Source organism: Homo sapiens, chromosome 10 (assembly GCF_000001405.40).
Source record: "Homo sapiens chromosome 10, GRCh38.p14 Primary Assembly".
Taxonomy (NCBI): Eukaryota; Metazoa; Chordata; class Mammalia; order Primates; family Hominidae; genus Homo; species Homo sapiens.
The window spans coordinates 93460781-93477212 of NC_000010.11; the positions used below are offsets into that span (position 1 = coordinate 93460781).

General features: G+C 46.1%; 1 protein-coding gene across 7 annotated transcripts in view, besides 1 other annotated feature; it reads right to left on the reverse strand.

Moving 5' to 3' along the window:
- Positions 1-16432, reverse strand: part of MYOF (myoferlin) — a 175906-nt gene that overhangs the window by 154352 nt on the left and 5122 nt on the right. The gene's annotated exons all lie outside the window — the stretch shown is intronic.
- Positions 8534-9383: an enhancer, noted in NCBI's record as "H3K27ac-H3K4me1 hESC enhancer chr10:95229071-95229920 (GRCh37/hg19 assembly coordinates)". NCBI's record gives its function as "activates a minimal SCP1, AML or CMV promoter by ChIP-STARR-seq in primed H9 embryonic stem cells {active_cell/tissue: H9 hESC(primed)}" and the evidence as "EXISTENCE:reporter gene assay evidence [ECO:0000049][PMID:30033119]".

The following is a 16432-nucleotide window of genomic DNA, read 5'->3' on the forward strand; positions in this document are numbered from 1 at the left end:
AAAAAGAAAGAAAAAGAAAAAAAAAGTGCCACAGGCCAGGTGCGGTGGCTGACACCTGTAATCCCAGCACTGTGGGAGGCTGAGGCAGGCGGATCACCTGAGGTCAGAAGTTTGAGACCAGCCTGGCCAACTTGGTGAAACCCATCTCTACTAAAAATACAAAATTTAGCCATGCATGGTGGTGGGCACCTGTAATCCCCGATACTCGGGTGGCTGAGGCAGGAGAATCGCTTGAACCTGGGAGGCGGAAGTTGCAGTGAGCCTAGATCGCGCCATTGCACTCCAGCCTGGCAACAAGAGCAAAACTCCATCTAAGAAAAGAAAAGAAAAGAAATAGCACAAAGCTCCACCAGGCTTTTGCCTGTCTCATTCTCATCCTGAAGTTTCTTCCTGCCTGTCAGAGGGGGAATAAACAGAAATAATGACTGGTCAGCTCAGGCCAAGAGACCTCACAGCTCAGCCCACAGAAATGGTTCACTGAGTGAGTTCTTCCGCAAACATTAATCAGCTCCTTCATTCTTCCACCCAACAAATGTTTGTGAAATTGCCAGGCATTGAGCACTGTAGGAGACACAAAAATACCCAAGACATGGTTCCTGCCCTCAGGGGGTCTAGTGGGGAGAGGAAATGTGGCTATACGGGACTGATAGAGAAAGGACTTCAGTTGCTATCAGAGGGGTATCAATGCACAGAAAAATTCAGAGGAAAGAAAGGTGACTTCAGGCTGTGTGCACAGAAGATGCAGAGGCTGAGCTAGATGAGAATTCAAGGGCAAGGAGGGGTTGAAAATGTGGAGCCAGAAGACGAGCTCACTCCAGTAGACACAATAGGGTGGGTGGATCAGGCATGGAGGAGGGAGAACCAGTTATGTCACATCTGGGGACACTCCAGGACCCAACCAGCTGGAACCAAAGAGCATAGAACTGGGTAGGGGGCAAACGGGCTTTGTGGGAAGGTTATGGTCTCACTGTGAAGCCTCAAGTACCAGGCTAAGCTTCATTTGGCTGATATAAGTACTTAAAGGAGGAGGGTATTAGAAACTGGATTTTATAACTTCAAAATTTTATAACTCATGAGAAAAACCAAGTGGCCCAACAATTCTCCCAATGCATGTTCCTGAACACATGATTCAATTGTGTGTTGAAAACAAAGGGGAGTGGCTGAGTCCAGGCAGATGCCAGTTGACCACAGACCAGGTGGAGCTATTCAACCAGAACTTCCTGCAGCTCCTGGCACTCATTGTGTGAGGTTGATGCTAATGGCATTACCTCTAGGGGATGCTCACTGCAGGCTGGGCATTGCTAAGCCCCCCACCTTTTTTTTTTTTTGAGTTAGAGTCTCACTGTGTTGCCCAGGCTGGAGTGCAATGGCACGCTCTTTGCTCACTACAATCTCTCTCCTGCCTCAGCCTCCTGAGTAGCTAGGATTACAGGTGTGTGCCACCACACCCAGCTAATTTTTATATTTTTAGTAAAGACAGGGTTTCCCCATGTTGGCCAGGCTAGTCTCGAACTCCTGACCTCAAGTGATCCGCTCACCTCGGCCTCCCAAAGTGCTGGGATTACAGGCGTGAGACACCGTGCCCGGCCTGCTAAGCCCTTTACATGCATCATTTCATTGAATCCTCCTGGCAAGCCTATGACGTAGGCACTGTTTTATTATCCTCAGTTTGCAGAGAAGCAAAGAGAGCCCAGAATGGTTAGGTAACTTGCTCAAGATCACAGGGCTAGGACGAAGCCCTCTAACCAGGTCTAGTATGACTCCTGAGCCCATGCATTTAACCACTGCACCTCCCATTTCCCTAGCTAATAAGGAAAAACTAAGTGGCTGGCATTGGCTCCTACCCTTCTGGAGAAACCCAGCTCAATCTCTTTCAAGAAGGAGGCTCTGATGTTTATCAAAATGTGTATATGTTACATTTTATTGAAAACCTATTCTCACACATAAACACATCAGGCAAAAAAAAAAAAAGTAGATAAATTATTTTTCTTATCAGCAGCCAGTCACATATTTATATTAGTCAATTATTTTATTCTACCTCTGTAAAAATAAAAAAAAAAGGTTAAACCTGCAGGCACTGAACATCAAATTGAATTACAGGAAACTCCCTCCCCTTTCTCCACATTACCTACCCCCCAACCTGGCTCCTGCGTCTAATTTTATTAAGATGACTGTTTCTTCCTATGGAAAGCAATAAAATATTTTCAGCTCAGAACATAACAACTGACTCAAATGCAGAGCACACTCTGAGTGTGCTCAAGGGCTCAAGTCGTTCTTCAGGACATTTCCTGTTTTCCGATTAGCTACGCCTGCCTCTCACTCAGTTCTGCGGAGGTCACCACTGCAGTAATTAACCCCAATGCCAGCCTCCAAACAAGGTTTCCGGGAGAACTGAACAGCTCTCTTAGCCAAACCACCCGCCCTCTTGCGCGGAACCATTTCCTTTGCTGTTCACCTACCAGCCAGTGTGTCAGAACCTTATTGAAAAGGCCTGGCCCAGTGCGGTGCTTATACCTGTAATCCCAACATTTTGGAAGGCCAAGGCCAGAGGATCGCTTGAGTCCAGGAGTTCAAGACCAGCCTGGGCAACATAGTGAGACTTCGTCTCTACAAATTTTTTTTTTTTTTTTTTTTTTTGAGAGGGAGTCTCACTCTGTCGCCCAGGATCTAGTGCAGTGGTGCAATCTTGGCTCATTGCAACATCCGCCTCCTGTGTTCAAGTGATTCTCCTGCCTCAGCCTGCCGAGTAGCTGAGATTACAGGTGCCCACCACCATGCCCGGCTAATTTTTGTATTTTAGTAGAGATGGGGGTTTCACCATTTTGGTCAGGCTGGTCTCAAACTCCTGACCTCAAATGATCCACCCGTCTCGGCCTCCCAAAGTGCTGCAATTACAGGCGTGAGGCACCACACCCGGCCCATCTCTACAAAATATTTAAAAATTAACCAGGCATACTGGCATGCACCAATAGTCCCAGCTACTCAGGAGGCTGAGGTGGGAGGATTGCTTGAGCTTGGGAGGTCAAGGCTGCAGTGGCCACACCCCTGCACTTCATCCTGGGTGTTAGAGCAAGACCCTGTCTCAAAAAAAAAAAAAAAAAAAAAAGGCCTGAAAGACATCAGGACTCCTGAGACTGGCTTGCTACATCTGTGCCGGTGGTCAGCTGCGCTGGTTCATTTTAATGTCAAGTTGGCTAGGCTATGGTGGTGTCTAATTGTTTGGTCAAACATAAGTCCAGATGTTGCTGTCGAGGTATTTTGTAGATGTGATAAACATTTACACTCAGTTGACTTTAAGTAAAGCAAAATTACCCTCTATAATTTAGATGGGCCTCATCCAAACAGTTGAAGGTCTTAAAAGCAAAAACTGGTTTCCTGGAGAAGAAATTCTGCCTCTAGACTCTAACATAGAAACCCTGCCTGAGTTTTCTAAGCTGTGGAATTCAGACTAGAGATTGCAACATCAACTCTTACATGAATTTCCAGCTTGCTGGCCCGCCCTGCAAATTTCAGACTTGCTAGCCCCCACAACTGCATAAGCCAGTTCCTTAAAATCTCTCTTTCTGTCTCTGCACAAACACATGCACACACATCCCATTGCTTCTGCTGCTCTGGAGAATCCTGACTAGTCCAACCAATAACACCAGGTGCCCACGGAAGTAACACGATGGTAACACATTTGAAATGCTTCCAAATACACACCGTCTCACTGATCCTAAAAATCCTGCAGGGAAAAGCACAGATGTCGGCCCAGCCCCTCTGACTGAACTTTCATATCTGTGACTTCTCTTCCTTTGAGCTGTTATCTTAGGAAAATATAAGGCTGAACCCCCAAGCTCAGAGTCCCTCATATATAAACTGATGCATTCAGACGAGATATATAATCTCTAAGTTTTCCCCCAGACTTATGGTACATAACCTTTATGATGTGCCCCCCAAGTCCTGAACGGTTAGATTGCTGTGTCTTTCTGAAATGGCCTCAGGAAAAGTTAGGGTGCTGTCTACAAAAGCTCCCTAAGTAACTCAGCTCTTCGGTAGACAAAATAGAACAACAAGATCTCTAGGTTCAGCCAAGAGTCTACATTTGATCTCCCATTCAGAAGTACTTCTTCCCCTTTTCTAGGTCTCTGGGTCATGCCTCCTTTCTTTTGAGATATATAAAGCCCCATATGAATTCATCTGCCATTTTGCCTAACATTTCACACACCCCTGAACCACACCCATACATGGCTAGCACTTATTATTAAGTGCTCTGAACTGAGTCACTGTTCCCAGTACTTCCCATGGATTCTCTCACTTAATCTTCACAACTCTAACAGATAAATTCTATTATGATCATTCCCAGTTACAGAGGAAGAAACCAAGACACAGAGAGGTTAAGCAACTTATTAGAGGTCATACAGCTAGTAAGTGATGGAGCTGGGATTCAAACCCCGGTCGAAAGAGACAAAAAGCAATTAGTTTCCAAAGTTGGAGGATTAAGACAAGAGGGTGATGCCTTGAAGGCTGAGACTATGTATTATTAATATTGTTATTCCCCCCACAACGCTTACTACATAGTAATTTCTCCATGACGGAGTAAATTGGACTTCATAAGTTCATATAAGTGTGATTACTAGGCGGCTTTAATGATTAAATGAAAGAATGAATACAAAGTGCCCAGCCCAGGGCCTGGCACACAGTAAGCACTAAACAAATGAGAGCTATCAGATGATTTCTTTCTTTTTCTTTTCTTTTTTCTTTCTTTTTTTTCTTTTCTTTTTTTTTTTTTTTGAGATGACTGGAGTGCAGTGGCACAATCTCGGCTCACTGCAACCTCCACCTCCTGGATTCAAGCCATTCACCTGCCTCAGCCTCCCAAGTAGTTGGGACTGTAGGCATGTGCCACCATGCCCATCTACTTTTTGTATGTTGAGTAGAGATGGGGTTTTACCATGTTGGCCAGGCTGGTCTCGAACTCCTGACGTCAGGTGATCCGCCCACCTCCGCCTCCCAAAGTGCTGGGATTACAGGCGTGAGCCACCGCACACAGCTAGATGATTTCTTATTACAGCACCAGGGCAGCCTCCTTGCATCCCCCCAGGGAGTTCCCAGGCTGTGGAGCTCCGGAGGGCAGGGCCCCTGTGACTGGAGGAAGTGCCCTGTGAGGCTGGGACCGCCCTGGTGGAATATTTCTTCCACGTGGCTCCATTCCAGGCTTCTGAGTTTCCCTGGGGCAGCTGGCATGTGAGCAGTGACTGCTCCTCTCTGGCAGGCAGCCTGGCAGCCTCCAGGAGCTGGCTAATTTCTACTATCAACAAGGGGCAGAGAAGTTTCTGAGAAGGGCTGGCAGAAACGCCTCCACCCTGGGGACTTGAGAGACACCTGGGGGAGCACAGGGACACAGGGCCCATCAGGTGGACCCCTCTCCAGGAGTGTCTCTGACTTTGGCTTTCCAACCTTGGCTGCCCTATCGTTCCAGGAAGATGCTGCCAAACAGGTTCTAGGAGAAAGGCATTTTGGGCAAGTGGCAACAGGATACAAAGCGAGGCTGTTTGGGACATTTCTGAAACAGTCACTGATATCACTGATAAACAGAAATGCCCCAGCAAAAAGGCAGGAGGGGTGACTGCTCCCCTCTCCACACCCAGTGCCCCACTGGCCTCTGGGAATGACCTTTCAGATGTACAGGCTCTTGAATCAAACCCACATTTTCCAAGGGAGCTGCAGTGAAGTCCAGTCCATTTGAATGACTCAGCCAGAATCTGCTTCCTAAAAGCTGATGCTGGGGCGTGGTCATGTCCCAGCTCTGCTCACTGCCAGGGCTGCTGGGAAGGGCTCCCAGGAGGGCCAGGCACCTGGCTTGACTGCCTTGGTGTTTGTGTTGTGTGCTGGGCATATTAAACACATTCACGTCTGTTCCCTACAAGGGAGGCTGGGCGCAGTGCTCACACCTGTAATCCCAGCACTTTGGGAGGCCAGAGGTGGGAGATGGCTTGAGTCCAGGAGTTTGAGACCTGCCTGGGAAACATAATGAGACTCCATCTCTACAAAAAATTTAAAAATTAGCCTGGCATGGTGGCTTGCACCTGTGGTCCCAATTACTCACTTAGGAGGCTGAGGTGGGAGGATCACTTGAGCCCTAGAGATCAAGGCTGCAGTGGGCCGTGATCAGGCCACTGCACTCCAGCCTGGGTGACAGAGCAAGACCCTATCTCAAACAAACAAGCAAACAAACAAACAACAACAACAAAAATAGGAGATATGAGTATGCTCATTTTACAGATAAGGAAACTGAGGATCAGGGTTGTTAACTGACTTGCCCGAGATCATAGAGCCAGTAAGTGGCAGAGCTGAGCTTCAGACCCAAGTCAGCCTTGTTTCCAAACCTGTGCTCTTTTTTTTTAAATTTTATTATTATTATACTTTAAGTTTTAGGGTACATGTGCACAATATGCAGGTTTGTTACATATGTATACAAGTGCCATGTTGGTGTGCTGCACCCATTAACTCGTCATTTAACATTAGGTATATCTCCTAATGCTATCCCTCCCCCCTCCCCCGACCCCACAACAGTCGCCAGAGTGTGATGTTCCCCTTCCTGTGTCCATGTGTTCTCATTGTTCAGTTCCCACCTATGAGTGAGAACATGCAGTGTTTGGTTTTTTTGTCCTTGCGATAGTTTGCTGAGAATGATTAAAAAGTCAGGAAACAACAGGTGCTGGAGAGGATGTGGAGAAATAGGAACACTTTTACACTGTTGGTGGGACTGTAAACTAGTTCAACCATTGTGGAAGTCAGTATGGCAATTCCTCAGGGATCTAGAACTAGAAATACCATTTGACCCAGCCATCCCATTACTGGGTATATACCCAAAGGATTATAAATCATGCTGCTATAAAGACACATGCACACGTATGTTTATTGCGGCACTATTCACAATGGCAAAGACTTGGAACCAACCCAAATGTCCAACAACGATAGACTGGATTAAGAAAATGTGGCACATATATGCCATGGAATACTATGCAGCCATAAAAAATGATGAGTTCATGTCCTTTGTAGGGACATGGATGAAACTGGAAACCATCATTCTCAGCAAACCTGTGCTCTTAACTGCCACTGCAGGCAGAGGGTGCCAGGCGACCTGTCACTTTTTCAGACCTTCCAGTGGTGTGAACTTGGTCTACTTACTCCAGCTCTTCATATCTAGACTTCTTCATTAATAAAGATTGGTATCTAATGCCCAGGAATAATTCCTACCAACTATAGGGTTTACCATCTGCCAGGCACTCTTCTAAGGGCTTTGTAAATGTTACCTATTATTATTATGATCCTTATTCAAGGCACAAGAAAGTTAAGTAGCTTGTCCAGGATTACCTGCTAGTAAGAAACAAAGCCAGAATTTGAATATAGGTCTTCTGGCTCTGGAGCCACTCAACCTCTCTGGCTTCTGACTAGTATATTTCACATAATTTGCTAGAGAATGAATTAAGTCTCAAGTACTCAGCAAATACATTTCAAACCCAGCTGAGGAGGTAGGGCCTACAGTGCCTCTTAAGTCCCGAGTGTCCTCTAAAAAGGGGATACAAAAGCCCACCTGGTAGAATTGCAGCAAGGATCAAATGAGAAAGCATACCCATGCCCAAGACACAGGGGACATTACCAGGTGTTGGAATCAGAACTATCAACTGCTTCCTTCAGGCAAGCTTTGGGAGGATCCAGTCCTCTGTCCTTCCTCGCTCCAAGAGATGGTATCAAGAGAAAATAAAATAGTCACTTAAAACAACCTTGAAAACAAATGCAAAGCGCGGAGTGAAAAATCTTGATAATTAGATCCTATCCCTCCCAGGCCAAGAATTTCCAGTTGAATTTAACCTCAGCTTCAGACCCTGGTGTCTCATCATTAGTCATCTCTTTCACTGGAATTTTGGGCCCTGCCAGCAGTTTAATCTACTTTCCTCAACCCTCCTTCCTATGCTGTGCATGGCTTTCACCTCTGGGCGCTTTAGCAAGCTGGGCTGGTTGTTTGCTGCAGATCAGAGGGAGAGCTGGGAGTCAGGAGTGTTTGTGAGCTGTTGTTTGTCAGTGGGGCCTGGGACAAGGACAGAGGGTGGAATTAAAATGAGAAGACGCCAAGCACAAAGAAAACCAACCATATATGAAGCAGTGGGAAAAAGCAAAGGACCAAGCATCCCAAGACCCAGCTTCTAGTCCTTCCCTGCCTCTTTCTGGCTACACAGCTTTGGCCTCCCTTGATATCTGAGTCTAAATATCTTCATCTGCACAATCGGTATGAATATCTGCCTTCAGCACCTGCTTGTGTTGTTGTGGAGAACAGATAAGATTATACCCATGAGCCAGGTATGGTGGCTCACGCCCATAATCCCAGCATTTTGGGAGGCCGAGGTGGGTGGATCGCTTGAGGTCAGGAGTTCGAGGCCAGCCTGGCCAACTTGGTGAAACCCTGTCTCTATTAACAACACAAAAAATTAGCCGGGCATGGTGGTGCACTCCTGTAGTCCCAGCTACTTGGGAGGCTGAGGCAGGAGAATTACTTGAGCCTGGGAGGCAGAGGTTGCAGTGAGCCAAGATCATGCCACTGAACTCCAGCCTGGGCGACAGAGCTAGACTGCATCTCTGAAGAAAAAAAAAAAAGATTACACCCATGAAAAAGCTTTCTACACTGTCAGTACCCTGCAAGGCAATTTCACACATGGAAGCCATCATAATGTGTCCAACACCCTAGGGCAAACAAGAGGGAATTTGGGGCCCCAGACAAGGCCTCTGAGACCAGAGATGTCCAGCTCAAAGGCACCAATGCCCCAGGCCCCAGCATGGTGTGACCAGATGCCCTCAGGGCTGGCTTTGTCCAGGGAAGTTACTGCCAAGAGTAAGCAGCAGAGCCCAGATTGCCAGCAATGTGGGCTGAGTTCACGTGCCTGACCACAGGATGGGCCAGATTTGGATGCGACCAAGACCAAGCACTCAGGGCTGCATAAGGGACAGCACAGGTGGTACAGCCTTGGCGGTAAGCATTAGTGTTCCAGCTCCACCTAGACCCTGCTGTAAGACCTTGAGTGAGGCATTTCACCCACTCTACCCGAGACTCAGTTTGTTCAGCTCTCAAGTGAGGACTTCTTTCTTATTTTTATTTTTACTTTTTTGGTGAGAAAATAAAGGAGTAGGCCGGGCGCAGTGGCTCACGCTTGTAATCCCAGCACTTTGGGAGGCCAAGGCGGGCAGATCGCCTGAGGTCAGGAGTTCGAGACCAGCCTGGCCAACATGGTGAAACCCAGTCTCTGCTAAAAAAACAAAAATTAGCCAAGCATGATGGTGCGCACCTGAAATCCCAGCTACTTGGGAGGCTGAGGTAGGAGAATCGCTTGACCCCAGGAGGTGGAGGTTGCAGTGAGCTGAGATCACGTGACTATACTCCAGCCTGGGCAACAGAGCGAGACTCCATCTCAAAAAAAAAAAAAGAAAGAAACAAAGAAAGAAAGAAAGAAAATAAAGGAATATGTTAAAATTAAATAACTAAGTACATGTGAAGCATGTAGCACAGTGCTTAACAGCCAGTAAACCATCACCATCAATATAATTGCCAATAATGATAATGTCTCCTTTCCAGAAGTTTTTGTTTTTTTGTTTTTTGTTTTTTGAGACAGAGTCGCTCTGTCACCCAGGCTGGAGTGCAGTGGCACGATCTCGGCTCACTGCAACCTCTGTCTCCCAGGTTCGAGCCATTCTCCTGCCTCAGCCTCCCAAGTAGCTTGGGACTACAGGTGCCCAACACCATGCCTGGCTAATTTTTGTATTTTTAGCAGAGACAGGGTTTCATCATGTTGGCCAGGCTGGTCTCGAACTCCTGACCTCAAATGATCTGCTCACCTCGGCCTCCCAAAGTGCTGGGATTACAGGTGTGAGCCACCACACCCAGCCTACACTCTTAATTCACTGAACGCTGGCCCCATTTACAGCCTAGACTATAAGCTGCATGTGGGCAGGGCCAAACTTGCTTTGTTCCCCACCCTATACACAGAGCTAAGCACACTGCCTGGCAGAGTACCCTCTCAATCAATGCTTGGATCAATGCTTGTTGAATGGATTCATGCTTGGAATGAGGAAGGAGCTGCTAAACATAGGAGGGACAGAGACAGGGAGTGTCCTAGCAATGAATTCAGTCTGTTAGGAGGGGTAAGCAAAAACATAACATTTTATTTATTGAAAGAAAGAGAGAGAAGGGCAAGGAATTTTTTTTTTCAATTTATAAGCTGCACTATTGAGATGAAAAAGATGATGAAGGTCATAAACTAACAAACGGAGGTGAAATGAAGTGGACCTCGCCCTGCCAGTCAAATATTAGATTTTTAATACTTTACATTACAAGAAGTTATGGTTCTAGTCTCCACTAATAAAATGGCTCAAACTTGACTATCAGTGGAACTGATTCACTGCTAAGCTATGTCACCTCTGAGCTTCTGAGTCACAGCATGTCATAAAGGCTTTCATTGCTCTGTTGCAAACTCACCCCAGGGGGGATGGGTTTTTTTTTCTTTTTCTTTTTTTTTAAGTTCTTTTGTTCTTGGTACACTTTCTTCCTTTTTCAGACTGGATCCTAATGACTCCAACCACTAAACAACTCAATCTGTTCAGAGAGAGAGGAACTGTTTATGTGAGTTGGTTGTGTAGTCAGAGGTTGTGAGTTGTTTCTTCATCCATGCTGAGCTCAGTGAAGACGCATGGACCATCTGGAATCCAGTTAAATCCTGACCTGTCTCTGCCTCAGCTCCCTCATAGGGAAAATGAAGATGTCAATAATACCTACTTCCTAAAAACGAAATGAAGGCGGGGCGTGGTGCCTCACGCCTGTAATCCCAGCACTTTGGGAGGCCAAGGTGGGCGGATCACCTGAGGTCAGGAGATCGAGACCAGCCTGGCTAACATGGCAAAACCCCTTCTCTACTAAAAATACAAAAATTAGCCGGGCATTGTGGCATGCTCCTGTAATCCTAGCTACTCAGGAGGCTGAGGCAGGAGAATTGCTTGAACCTGGGAGGTGGAGGTTGCAGTGAGCCAAGATTGCACCATTGCACTCCAGCCTGGGTGACAAGAGTGAAACACTGTCTCAAAAAAAAAAAAAAGGCTCGGCACGGTGGCCAACTGGAAGACCTGGTATTGCAGAGGACCAAGGCTATTTCCCACACGTCTTTGGCTCTACTATGGTTCCCAGCACAACTCTGGCCACATGGACCTCAGAGCTGGGCTCCACTGGCCAAGAGGCCACCAGGCTCTTTCAGGCTGCTGCTGGGCTCCTGCGAGGTGGGCTTTCCATCACAGGAGAGCTGCCTTCCTGCTGATCACTGAGGACGAGGCCTGCACTGCAGCAATTCTCACTCTGAGCTAATGCAGCAAGTGTGAGCTGAAAATCCAAGTCAGAGAGTTGCTAAGAACCTACTATGCCCACACCCATTAAGATGGCTATTATGAAATAAAGAAGAAAAAAAGAAGTGTTGTCAAGGCTGTGGAGAAATTGGAACACTTGTGCAGTGCTGGTGGGAATGCAAAATGGTGCAGGATCTATGGAGAACAGTAGGCCATTTCCTCAGGAAATTAGAAATAAAATCCCAGCACTTTGGGAGGCCGAGGTGGGCAGATCACTTGAGGTCAGGAGTTCAAGATCAGCCTGGCCAACATAGTGAAACCCCTCCTCTACTAAAAATACAAAAATTAGCCAGGCATGGTGGCATGTGCCTGTAATCCCAGCTACTTGGGAGGCTGAGGCAGGAGAATCGCTTGAACCCAGGAGGAGGAGGTTGCAGTGAGCCAAGATGGCGCCATTGCACTCCAGCTTGGGTGACAGAGCAACACTCCATCTCAAAACAAAAACAAAAACAAAAACAAAAACAAAACTGTACACTTAAAATAGTTAAGATGGTAAATCTTACGTTATATGTGTTTTACCACAATTAAAAACAAAGAACCTACTTTGGCAATGCCTTCAAGCTGTTTGTGCAGCCACAGCTGACCAGCATCCTGTTTATTCTGAACAGCTAAGCCTGGGCCACCCCTTGGAAATGTCCCCCAGGACTCTGTATGTCCCTGCAGCAATGGGGGAAGAAGTGGGGCATAAAAGCCAGAAGACATGAGCACCTGTCATGCAACATTCTGTGTCAGCACTACGACAAGTTCTCTATATATTTTATCACAATTGCTCCCAACAACCTCCCTGTGAGGTATAGATTATTCTCCACACTCTGTAGATGAGGAAATGAAGGCTCGGAAATATAGTTGCCCAAAGACACCCAGCTCCTAGGGATAAAACCAGGAGTGAAAATTAATTTTTCGAATCCAAAGGTCATCCCTTTCCAAGTATTGTGTTGGTTACAGAAAGAAGGGGGTTCTTTTAAGTGAGAGGTTATGTCAACCAACAGAGTAAAGATGGAAAAGAACAGATCTAATCCCTGGAAGGAGACAGGCTGCAGAGTTCATACTCTAGGCCCCCAGAAGGCTGCCCTGTGAGTAGACACATCTGGTCTACCCACTTTGTCTTGGCCTTCCATGCCCCTTGGCCACAGTTAATTGGAGCAGGGCTGAACATCTGACCAAAACCAAGGCAATTGGTGTTTTTCTCTGAGCTATCTCATGCACGAGACGCTGCCACTGCAGTTGGATGTAGAGTCAAGACCCAGTCACCTTGCAGCAACCCAAAGCCCATGCAAGAGGCCTCACTAAGGACAGCCAATTTGCAGAGAGCCAACAATTATAGACAATATGCAGAAAAGTAATGGCTGCCATGTGCAGGGAGAAGCAGAGGCAGGAGGCTGCACAGTCCCTGGGAAATGAGGAGAGGGGAGCTGACATGATTCTGGCTCTTGTGAGGTCTGTGATCTGGACTCCAGATTTCTTTCTAGCTTTAGAAAAATCAAGGTTTCCTTGAGCACGCTGAAGTGGGTATCTGCTCCTTGTAATGAAGCAATTCTGAACCATGACTCCCTATCCTTTCAGATAGTACAACAGGCTAGGGAGAGAAGGACCTTATGCAAATGAACCATGGCTCAGCTTGGTTGAGGAAATGCTCCCCCATTTGATCTTTGGGAAGACAGCAAAATTTGTCTTCAAAGATCACTTTGTATTTCTGTTTTTGTTCGATCTCTTGGTGGCCTCCCTGCCGCCTCAGGTGGCTACTGCCCTCGTGCTGGCCTCTTGCTGAGCTACCCCAACCAGCCCTGCACTCGCCCACAGGGTGCACACTCCAGCTGGAAGCAAGGCAGTCTGATGTTCCATTTCACAGTACAGTGTGAGGAAGGATGGCCAAATTTGCCTGTCCAGTGTGGCTCCCTTATCACTTTAATTTAATCAGGTTGTTTCCTCAGTGTCTTTCCTTATTAGTGCCTTCCTTCTGATTCCAGTCCTGGGATGAGCTCCATCTGTGCTGAGAAGCATTTGACTCAACTAGTAAGCCTTCTTACTAGTCTCCCTGACTAGTACTAATCTGCTGTTCACATTGCGGCCTAGCGGCTCCCCAATGGTTGATGAGTAAAGTTCAATCCCTATTCATACCACGTTACTCCTCCCCATGGCTCTCTGGTCCTCCTGTACTGTTCCAAAGCCTGGAATGTCTTTTTTCCATTATTTCTGTCAAATTTCCACTCATCCTTTAAAACCAAGCCAAATGACACTTTCTCCACAAGCTTTTTCACTCTTTCATCTACTCAGATTGTAACTTTTCATGTCTATTCTGGTTTGCATCTCATTCTTGTGTGCTAACTAGTCGGTCACCTAGGCCTGAAAATCCAAGCCATCTTATGCATATTTTTCTAGACTTAGTTCCAGAAATACTCTCTGGTGCACTGTAGTGCTCCATGAAACTGTTATCAAATAGGTAAGGAGATTTATAGACTGCCATGTGCAATGTCACATGTACATTAATTTAATCCTCAAACAGCCCTGCAAGGCAGGAGATATTATTAAGAACACTGAAGCTGATTTTTTTTTTTTTTTGAGATGAAGTTTCACTCTTGTTGCCCAGGCTGGAGTGTAATGGCGCCATCTCAGCTCACTGCAACCTTCACCTCCCGAGTTCAAGCAATTCTCCTGCCTCAGCCTCCTGAGTAGCTGGGACTACAGGTGCCCACCACCATGCCTGGCTAAGTTTTTTGTATTTTTAGTAGAGACAGGGATTCACCATGCTGGCCAGGCTGGTCTTGAACTCCTGACCTCAGGTGATCTGTCCACCTCAGCCTCCCAAAGTACTGGGATTACAGGCGTGAGCCATCATGACCGGGCTTGAAGCTGCAGATTGTATTTGCTCATGAGCAACTAGGGATGGCCACTGGAATTCTCATTTAGGCATCCCTGGCCCCAGAGCTCAGGGCCTTTGTACCCTCATGCCCAGTAAGAAGTTAATTGATAAGGCTTAAGGTATCAAATGTCCCATAACTTTTTCTGATTGAGAACTGTGCTCAGACCTGCTCAAAGCACACCCCAGTGCAACAGAACAGCTGTTCAATAGAAATTACACAGTGAGTCAGCTGACCACTGCCATATCATGGCATTCTATATACTACGTTTCATGTATGAAGGTTCAACATAAAACTGGCAGCTTCATATTTTCCTTGCCAGGAACAAGAATGCAAAATGTCTTATACACCAATTTGCCCCCAGAGAACAGGTGCTAGGAACTGGTTGTACTCAGGGTTCATGAATACTTGACATGGTTCTTTGCTAAGCCTCATTCACAAACACCTGAGAGGATATTAAACGTAAAGGGCAATTGGATGACTTCCCAGGGTCTCTTTCAGGACTAAGCATCAAGGACTTTGTCACATTAAGGTGTCTGAAATTTCCTGCCAGTTCTTTGCTACATGCTCAATATTTAAAATGTATATTCAACATCAGTGATGTGCTGGGTGTTGCAGAGGATATAACAATCCCACACCTTCTTGGCAGGGCCAAATCCTACAGTAAAGGAGAAACACACCCGTGATTAGAAAGGAAAACCCATACCAGACAAATACCAGCACCCCTAAGCTGAGGGCACGCAGGTGAGATGTGTTGTGAAGGAGGAAAGAAAAACAAGGCACGTTAATTAATTTTTTAAGGGCCATTGTAGCTTTATAGATGACTGAGACCCTGCAGAATGTGCCTTTGGGGAGTGTACCTTTGAGAATTCCCATGCTTCCATAGGGTGGGGCCACTTTCCTTAGGCAGTGAGTCTCTAAGCCTTGTTCTCCAGAAAGGGATGGGAATGACTCAGGAGATTAAACACTTTTGCCTTCCTGATTGTTTTGTCAATACAATACAGTGGTTTTATGGGAATACCCGAGTAGTGTGATTATCAGTTTGAGCTGATAGGGATCTTCTTGATGAGTCCTATGGTGCTCACTGGGTGAACCAAGGCTCTCTGTGGGGAACGCACCAAGTGCCTGGACAAACCACAGTGAATACTATCCATGAGCTCTTTCTCACATCACTTCCCCATTCTTTTTTTTTTTTTTTTTTTTTTTTTTAGATGGAGTCTGGCTTTGTTGCCAGGCTGGAGTGCAGTGGCGCGATCTCAGCTCACTGCAACCTCCGCCTCCCAGGTCCAAGCGATTCTCCTGCCTCAGCCTCCCAAGTAGCTGGGATTACAGGGGCCCACCACCACGCCCAGCTAATATTTCTATTTTTAGTAGAGATGGGGTTTCACCATGTTGGCCAGGAAGTTACTTCCCCATTCTTAAGTGGAATCGCATAGCTTTGGAGCTTATTTTAAAAATGCTTTAAAAGATATATTCTTGGTGTTAATGTCCCCCACTGAAAAAAAAAATCAACTTTATAATTTCAAATAGCAAAGCAGGTTTTTACTAAAAATACACATGTGTCTATTGGATACATCACAGCCTTTGGGATGTCTAGAGATTAACTCCCTTTCAGATAAGCCATTACAGCCCCATTTTTCAAAAGAAAAAAGGACTCTCTGAGAGGTTAACTGGTTTGCTCAAGACTACAAAGTTTGATATGCTAATTAGAGGGGGGATATTCTAGAAATATCTAGGCTCACATTCCAAAAACAGGTCCAAGTAAAATGACAGGAATCTGGAAAAAATAAGTAATAACATGACAATTATCTGGTGGCCATCTGGACAGTAGCAGTAGCCATTCCACAAGGAAAAGATTTACACAAGACCAGAAGGGAGAGAAAATTCTGGCTGATGGAATGGGGGATATTGTAAGGAGAGAATGAGAAAAATGCTATAGTAGCAACAACTACGTACCCAAGGAGATGGATGTTTTATGTGAATGTAATGTTGCCACATTGTAAAGGCACAATAATATAAAAGTATGCAAGAAAACCTCCGCTCAATCACCTTTTCAAGAGATTGGACACAGAAGCAAGGGATAGGTCAAAGGGAAAATGGAAGCCTAAGGCAAGATCCAGCAAAAGCACCTTTAAAAGAAAAGAAAAGGC